General features: G+C 42.5%; 1 protein-coding gene across 1 annotated transcript; it reads right to left on the bottom strand.

Annotated features, from left to right (window-relative positions):
* Positions 1 to 2,876: 2,876 nt before the first annotated feature.
* On the bottom strand, positions 2,877 to 4,320 carry MRGPRX4 (MAS related GPR family member X4). The gene has a single exon (NM_054032.3). The coding sequence runs from the start codon at positions 3,898 to 3,900 to the stop codon at positions 2,932 to 2,934; it is 969 nt and encodes a 322-aa protein (NP_473373.2). The 5' UTR covers positions 3,901 to 4,320; the 3' UTR covers positions 2,877 to 2,931.
* Positions 4,321 to 9,157: the final 4,837 nt, after the last annotated feature.

Genomic DNA, 9,157 nt, shown 5'->3' with positions numbered 1-9,157 from the left:
GGCAGAAGCAGGACAGGAAACAGATCCAATTGATTCTTGTGAGGCTGATGACTCAGTGCCCTTGAGCCCAGGTATACTAGAGCATCAGTGAATGGCCACAAAGGCTCAGCATTTGCTCAGCATCAATCAATTTATTTTCTTCATGAAGTGGAAAGGATTGGTTATAGAGATGGAATGTATTAGTGAGAGACTTATTTGAAAGGTGTTTGCTTTTATGTAGAATTAGCACAGTGCTTGATGAATTAGGTTCGAATGTTTGTTGAATTCATGCCTACAAAATAGTCATGAATGGCAGCTCCCAAAAAGTGCCATTAGAGACTTTTATATCATTTCTCACTTTCTGGAGAACACTCCTGGATGTCTTGCATGCTCTTCCTCGACATAGAACCGAGAGGAAATGATATCATTGGCCTGGGAAAGAAAGCAGCTCACGAGCAGACTCCCACATCTCCTCCATTCTTCTTCCCAGAGGCAGTGAGCAGACCTGCAATGAAGGGCAACAGTTCTTCTCAGAAAAACCAACTGCAGAGGACACTCTGTTGAGTGGGAGATGCCTGTAGGAGTTCCAGTGAGATCTGGTGACTGAGCCAGCCTTTTCAAGATGCTGGACAAACCTGTGATTTTCAGGTGGAAGCTGCTTGAGAAAAATAGTTACTGATACTCTCCTAAATTCCACACCTAGTCTGTTGCACTAGAAATTCCAAGACATGTTCTCTGCTCTTAAAGACCTCAGAGTGCAGTTGAAGAGAAAGATGTGAGGACAAACAATTGAAATACACTGTTATAACTGCTGTAGTGGAGCAATGTCTGAGGCCAAGTGAGTTCAGAATGGGCTTCAGGGACAGAATCTAAGCTTTCATAAAATTGAAATTTTCTTCTGTCAGAAAAAAAGAGTCACTAACGTCAAAATAAGCAGTGTCCCAGGTGAGAACCAACATTATTTGATTCAATTGCCAGGTGAAAATTCTCTACAGAATTCCTCATGATAAACAACATCTTTGACCAGAACTGTTCAATTGATATCACAGACTCCCAGAATGGGCTCTCTCAATAACCCTCAGTCTGAACTAAAGACATCACATCAAAGCTCCTTTTGTGGAGCATTGGCTGCAAACACTGCCTTCCTGCTTCCTCCAACCTGTAGGAAACCCTTACCTACAGCTATGTCCTACTATGGCATTTGGAAATCGAGGGTGGACAGATAGGATTCAGCATCAGCGAGTGCTGAGCCTGGAAGAGCAATGGATCTGCACTCAGGGGACCTGAGTTCAACATTGTGAACAATGTGATACGAGCCACGAATAAATTTGGTTGGACAAATTGAAAACTATACACCTGTTTATTGTTATAGACCTCTTTATTGCTTTCATAGCTACTTTGTACTGTCTCCTGTATACTCAAAATGCATGTGTCAGCTCCCCTCAGTGAGGGTTAATCTGAGGGGCAGCCTCACTGTCTATGATCAGCACAGACCCTGCTGTGATGTCACATCTTCTCTTGGTGGTCTCTTCTGTCTGCTTGAGCTATCTGTTGAAGGGATAACCACTGGTGGAGAATAGTCCTGAATTTTGTACTGATCCTGTTTTTATAATTAAATGTTTTTAATTGTGGTAAAATGCACATAACATACATTTTACAACTTTCACCATTTTATTTGTACAATTCAATGTCATTAAGTGCATTCACAATAAGTCGTAACCGTTACCACTGTCCCTTTTAAGAACTTTGCATTATTCCACACAGAAAGTCTGTGCTCATTAAATAATGGCTACACATTCTCTCCATCATCCAGCACCAGGATCCTTCTAATTTATTTTCTGTGTTCACGAATTTCCTAGTTTGGATACCTCGTAGAATTTGACCATACAATATTGTTCTTTGGTATCTGGCATATTTTCCTTAGCACAATGTTTCCGTGTTCATCTAAGTCACAGCATGTATCAGAATTTTGTACCAACTGTAAGTTATTATCCGGATACTATAATTGACATTAGCATGGAAAAGTCAGATGTTTTCAGTTTTGCTTCTTATGTTAACAGCCATAAAATTAACTGAAAGTTACAGCCAGAACAATTTGTACAAAACCTGAAAGTATGAAGAATTCTCCTACAACTTAAAGACTCTGTAAATGAATAATAAATGGTTTTCAAGATAATTTCCAGTTTGAAACCAATTTTAATTTCCAATGGCCAAAATGGAACTGGTGGGGTGTATTTATAGGCTCCTCACTGGTCCGTTAGTCCAGGAAGAGCTAAATAAGCACTTACCAGTTCTCAAGGGGAAGGGGCCACGATTGTCTTTACTAGAAACCAAAGCCAACGTGTGACCATGTGTGGACAAATGACAGGAGAGGGCTATTCATAAAACCAATTTCTAAGACTGTTTTTATGAAGGGAGAATCTCTCTCTAAGGACATTATTTTGCTTTATATCTGAGAATTCAATGGAATTTAGAGGTAGCAGAACTCACTTATTAAGAATTGAGCTTCCAACTGCAGTAATGCCTCCAGTCATAGAAGGGAACATGATTTTCAGGGGAACATAGTCTGACAGATTAATAAGGAATCTTCCTTTTTGATACTATCAGGTAGGAAACAAGTATAAAGAAGAGTTTTAGGGTTGTGGACAGGAACTCCTTTTATTACAATGAAAAGTGCAGAAAAAGTGTTCAGTAGGAAAGATTCAGTGCAAGATAACAGGGAAAATGTATTGGTAATATCAAGGAGAATCCAAACATTGTACTGTCAGACTAATGCTTTCCATGGGTGAAAACTGCAACTGTCAGGTTAGATAAACATTTATTTGAAGACCTTGAGTTACCACTGAGACATTTCTGAGGCGAAACGCTAAGAAAAACGCATGTAATTGTCAAGGGTGGCAGGACAGTGTTGCTCTCAAAGTCCCGTCTGACTGACAGGGCAGAGGCTCTCCCTCATGGCCCCAATCTGCTTCCCGACAGCTCCAGGCTTTCCTCAGGAAGCTGCCCTTCACCTTTATCCACCTCAGGCTTGTCCTGCAGAGCCCTCTGGAGAACCAGCTTCAGGTTCTGCCTATTTTGACGCTGCCTAAAGGAGCCCACGAAGAAGTAAATGATGGGGTTGGCACTACTGTTTAGAGAGGACAGGGACATGCAAACCAGATAAACATGACAATATAAGACTTCCAAATTCAGGTGCATCCTGTAAATTAGGGCCCCCAGAATGCCGAAGGGCAGGCCGCAGAGGAGGAAGACCAGCACTGTGAGCAGGATGGTCACGTACAGCCTGGTCAGCGGCATCTTCCGGGATCCACAGAGGATCCTGACCAGCAGGACCAGGCTGGAAACACAGAGAACCACACATAAAAAAATCAGCCACGCGACTGGGATGAAATCTGACGTTTCACACCAACTAGAATCAGCACCACTAAACAGGAAGTCACAGAACCTCCACTCCAGCATACTAAACAGCAGGGACAGGCCCCAGAGCAGGACACACACGACCGCTGACAGGTGTGTGGGGCGGCGGCAGCGGTACCAGATGGGCCACAGAACAGACAGGCAGCGCTCGGTGCTGATGGCGCTCAGCATACTCAGGCCTGTAAAGTAGGGAAAGGTCATCACAGAAACGAGGATTTTGCGGATGAGATGGCTGATATTGATGAGGCGTAATGGCAAACGTATAATCTGGAAGCTGAGGAAGAGGAAGTCTGCTGCGGCCAGGTTGAGGATGTAGATGGAGACAGCGTTCCTGCGCATGCGGTAGCCCAGGAGCCAGAGCACAACCGCGTTTCCTGTCAGTCCGACAAGGGAAATGATGCACGTCAGCACCGTGAAGCTCAGGGTCTGATTGTAGCAAGGAGTCTCCTCACGTCCGTTGATTGGTGTCAGTTTTGTACCGAAGACTGGGACGGTTGGATCCATGCTCAGAAACCCTAGTCTGGTGCCCCTGGGAACACAAACCAGATGTGATCACCAGCTGTATCATCTCTGATTCTCCCCACCACCCTGCCGTATGGGATTTACTGTCCTCATTTAAAGAAGAGAGAAACAGAGGCTCGCAGATAATAAGTCACTTACCAAAGGTGGGGGTCCTCAAATCCAGTTTGAAATCCAGTTCTTGTTGACTCTGAAGCCTGACATCTCTCTACTGCCACACAAGTTCTGTGCTGACATGGGAATAACATTAGGATCAAAACACCCCCACTCATCCGGCCAGGGCTTTGGACCCGATGATTAATCTATCCTGGGTCTGAAATTTTCTTTCAGGTGGAGGAATTCAGATACACAAAGAGGTGGTTGTGACACACTCGTGACTAGGACTGGTCATCCATGGACAGGAAGGAAGACCATGCATTATGAACTAGAGGAAAATGTGACCTTTGCTAGGATAAGTGTGAAAATGGCTGGGCCTGGTGGGTGAGAAATAACTCAGTGTGTCAGTCATTGCAGACAGGACTACATTTTACATTTTATACTCCCAGTGCCTATTTCCATGAGCAGCACACTGTGCTTTTCATATACATTCATTCAATGAATGAATGCATGCATGAGACTAATGGTACTGGTAGATTTGGATGAAATGGAAAATAAAGATGAAAGCACAATGTAAGGTATTAGAACACACACGTATAACTGGATGAAGAAAATTTAATTCATCAGAATTCTATTTGTGGAAAGCTGTATCTGTGTTGAGAAGAATTCTTGATGTGTGCCCAAAACTTGAAATTGACCACTGATGTGCCTTTGAAATGAAGACTCAGTGTGGCTTTGCTGAACACCTAGAAGCATTTTTGTACACAGTGTTTGGGTAGGGTGTGGGTCTGAGCTGAATTACTCAGCAATAGAACAGAGGAAAGAGTAAGTGAAGATGAGGTCTGAGTGTAACTGACGGAGGTAATTGAAGTGTGGAAATATCTATGGGGGACTACTAAGTGTTCTGCTGGGTATACACAATGTAAACTTTTTGGTTCTCTCTTTCAGGAGATCTTTGGTAGCATTTCTTTGTTGATGCAAACATTTGTATGAGAGGCGTCCATGAGGGGAAATAGGCGATGTGTAGGGCTTGGAGTGTAAAGAGAGAGATTCATGCAGATTTCAACTGGAGAATGAGGATTAGGTCTAATCTGGGAGAATAACAGCAGCTGATTGAGAGTTTGTAAGGTATTGTCTCTTTTAATCACCCGAAGAGCCTAGGAGGTAAGAATTGGTATTATTCCCATATGGCAGATAATGCAATTGGAGCACAACGAAAGGGAATTATTTGTCCCAGGGGTTATGTATTACATAGTATGAATTTGAGTCCGGCAGGTCTGACTCACAATCCAGTCTTGGAGCAGCCCTTTATACCCAGCACCACCCTGTGTCGATTATATATGTTACAGGGAGTAAAGCAGAGGAGTGATTCTCAAGTTAAATCCAAGTTGGCAGCCAAAATTGTGGATTGAAAAAAAAACTGACCTAAGCAAACTCCACATAGAGAAGGAGAGGCAAATCAAAGAGGGAACAAAATAGAGGTGAGTGAATGCCATTTAGGAATAAATTCAGGAGTTCCTTTTTGCCTATCAGAGGTCACATTTGCTCTGGAATCCTGAGGATGCACAGGGGCAGGAGGCCTCCTGGTGGACAGAAGATGCACCCTTTGCTGGGAGTACAGAGAAGCATCAGGAGTGAATGCATCCATCATGAGCTCTCTTAGAGGGGCAAGGTGCCACAGCCCTGATTGGCCCAGAAAGGAAATGGGAGGAAAAGGAGAGCCTCTGTTATCCACACTCAGGGCACTAAAGAGTTTCTCTATCTATATTTATGGTATGATATGTTTGTCTTCCTCATGAAAACCAAAGCTCCATAAGGACTAAGTCATACCTGTCATTTTCCCTGTAGTATCACCAACATTTAGCCTGTGTTCCTTAAAGACCATCTATGGTATTATCCTCATATAACATAAGATGAAGCCAAGGCATAGAGAATTAAAGGGTTTTCCTGAGTTCACAACACGAAGAGCAAGTCTAATACCAGCCCCTGGTCCCTGGAACCCTGCATGAGGCTCCAGTTCTGTTCTCTGCCCCATCATTCATTATTTCTGAGGAGTTCCTGAAAAATCTTGATGTGAGCACAGAGTCAGAGACAATCAGGGCTGAAGAGACTGCTAGATTGCCCCAATATTCATTTTCCTCTTCGGTCACATAACAATTCTGAGAGTATAAAAGCAGCACAAAGACCCACATCCCAGTTTTCCTTGATGCTGGATGACATTGTATGACCAGGTGCTGTTAAGTGGAAGAATCACAAAGTGATGTAAGCAATTCCTTGCTCACAGGATCAATAGAAGGAGTAAAGCCTCTCCTTCCCCTCGTCCTTTTCCATAAGGCTGGAATGCTGATGTAGCTGGAAACCATGCAAGATCACAAAGATGAGGGCAACTCTCTAGGGACTGGGAGCCCCAATTTTTGGAATTCTGATGTGTGACGCCTTGGAGCTTCTACTTCAGATTTCAAAGATAGTCATTTCTGGGTATTCACAGGGGATTTTTTCCAGAACTTTAGCACACACCAAAATCTGCAGATGCTCTATTTCCTTCTATGTGGTATTTGTATATACCTATGCACTTTCTCCCAGATATGTTAAATCATTTTTAGTTATTTAGAATAACTGACGAAATGCAAATGCTATGTAAATTCTTGTTATATTGTAGTTTTTCAGAAATAATGACGAGGAAAAACAAGTTTGTACCTGTTCAGTACATACACAACTCCACCATACCCTTATTTTTGGAATAGTTTCCACCTGTGGTTTGTTGAATTTGCAGATTCAGAATCTAGTGACCCAGAGACACAATTATACTTTTTTGTTTAAGATATTTCTACTTCATGTCTTTTTTAGAGCAGCCAAACTTAGATTCTAAACAAATAAATATGTTCTCTTTTTAAATTACATTTTATTTTCTATGCATTTTTGACAAATGCAAACATTTCTGCATAAAAGTGACAGTAGAGAAAGACATGCCAAACATTAAAGTAGTCTCATGGAGCTGAAATGAGACAGGAATCAATCACCTTCAGGCAGAGCAAGCCTCAGGAAGTAGGAGGATATAAGAAGGTAAGAGGAATAGTCTCATTTGGCATGAGGATTTGCTTTCCGTTCTTCTCTATCCTGTTTGACATCCCAAGTGAGTGGCTTCCATGTACCACATTAGTAGGATTCTTTTTATTTCTGGTTTCTAATGAAATTGAGACACTGGGACATACTGGCAGGAGACTGGAAGACAGCAGGAGAGTGACTTGGGATTTCCATCTCCTGGCTCTCTGCCTGCATATTAGTTCCTTCTTGCATTGATAAAAAGAAATACCTGAGACTGGGAAATTTATGAGGAAAACAGGTTTAATTGGCTCATGGCTCTACAGGCTATGCAGGAAGCATAGCAGCTTCTGCTTTAGGGGAGGCTTCAGAAAGCTTCCAATCCTGATGAAAGGCAAAGGGGGAGCAAGGCATCTCACATGGTGAGAGCAGGAGCAAGAGAGAGAGGGAGGAGGTGCTACACACTTTTAAACAATTAGATTTCATGAGAACTTATCAGTATCAAAACAATAATACCAAAAGGGGATGGTGTTGAAACATTCATGCAAAATCATCCCCATGATCTAATAATCATCCCACCAGGCCCTCCCTCCAACAATGGGAATTACAATCAACATGAGATTTGGGTAGGGACACAGATCCAAACCATATCGGCCTGTGTGGTTGTGTGTTGGCTGTGCAGGGCTTCTCCACCTGCCTGCTCGTGCTCTCCCACCCCTATGGCTACAACTATGGCTATGGCGACAATGGTAACTGCTCCTTCCCTGTGCCTTTCAGCCTAGGGGAGGAAGTAGTGCTCCCCTATGTATTGCTGCTTGAGGTGCTTTGCCATGCCTCATCTCTTTCCCTTAACCCTGCGCATCTTTGTAAATACTTTCCTCACGAAACACTCCTTAATTATTTCAGTTTGGACTATCTATAACTTCCTTGGTCCTTTCCAGATAGGCAAAGAAGAATAAATTTAAAAAGTAAGTGAAACAATAAAACCGGCCCTACAGCAGTTCAACTCTGGGAAGAAATGTCTTCATGTCTTCTGGCTCCTTAAATGAATGTAAGAGGCAGCATTCTCTCCAGGAGAGCAGATTGAATGATTGGAATGAAGGAGATGATACGGGGAGATAAATCAGAAGGGGGACCCCATTTGGAACTCACACAGTTTGGGCTGGCAGCACTCAGTTTCCAAAACGAAGCTTCGTGTCTCCTGTCTTTTCCTGAAACAAGCTCATGACCCCCTGCATGTAGCACCAAGGTGGAAGCACAGGACATGATCTGATAGCAAAAACCATAACTGACCATGGAAGAAGACAGTTCTTGGTACTTACCCTTATCTTTCCTTCTTTTGTCCTGTGGTGAAGACCTCCCTTGTGCTAAAGGTAGAGAGCCTTTCTGGGATTCAGTGTCTTCAGAGGACTTTTCTGTGTTGCTTAATTCAGGAGATGCCTACAGGAGCTGAAATGAAAGCTGGTTAGCAATCCAGGCTTATGAAGATGCTGGACAGTCTTGTTATTTCCTGTATGAGGACTATGGACAAATCAGAGGCCAGAGGTATTTGAGGCACAAATCCTAACTGAGATGATTCTTGGCCTCTGTCCCATATCCAATACATATCAGCCTCTCCCATCATGTCCCATCTTGTTCAGCTTCCTGTAAGTAATTGCTGTCCTGATTTTGAAAATCAATTATGGGCCTAGATATCAGATTAAGTAATGTGAACTTTCGTTATGAGGCTTTTTAACTAAAGAAATAAGTAGATCATAGGATCATCAAGGCTGAAAATGGCCTGACACCATGTTTCGGTGTTTTCTTTATCATAGTGGTGATATATTCATGTGTATGCTTTCTTTCCAAGTGGTAGAGAAGTGTATGCAAAGTGAAAATCTAGAATGTCATTGTCCAGAGGCTACCACTTGCTACACATTTTTTTCTAACTTCTTTTATTATTATCAACTCTGAACATTAAACTTTTTAAAAGTTCTGTGAAATTAAATCATTTGTTGTTATTATTTTTATTTCAATGGGTTTTGGGGGAACAGGTGGTGTTTGCTTACATGGATAAGTTCTTTAGTGGTAATTTCTGAGATTTTGGGGCACCCATCACCTGAGC

The sequence above is a fragment of the Homo sapiens genome, chromosome 11 (assembly GCF_000001405.40).
Source record: "Homo sapiens chromosome 11, GRCh38.p14 Primary Assembly".
Classification (NCBI taxonomy): Eukaryota; Metazoa; Chordata; class Mammalia; order Primates; family Hominidae; genus Homo; species Homo sapiens.
Note: the sequence above shows the minus strand (reverse complement) of the source record. Positions and strands in the feature narration are given on the sequence as shown.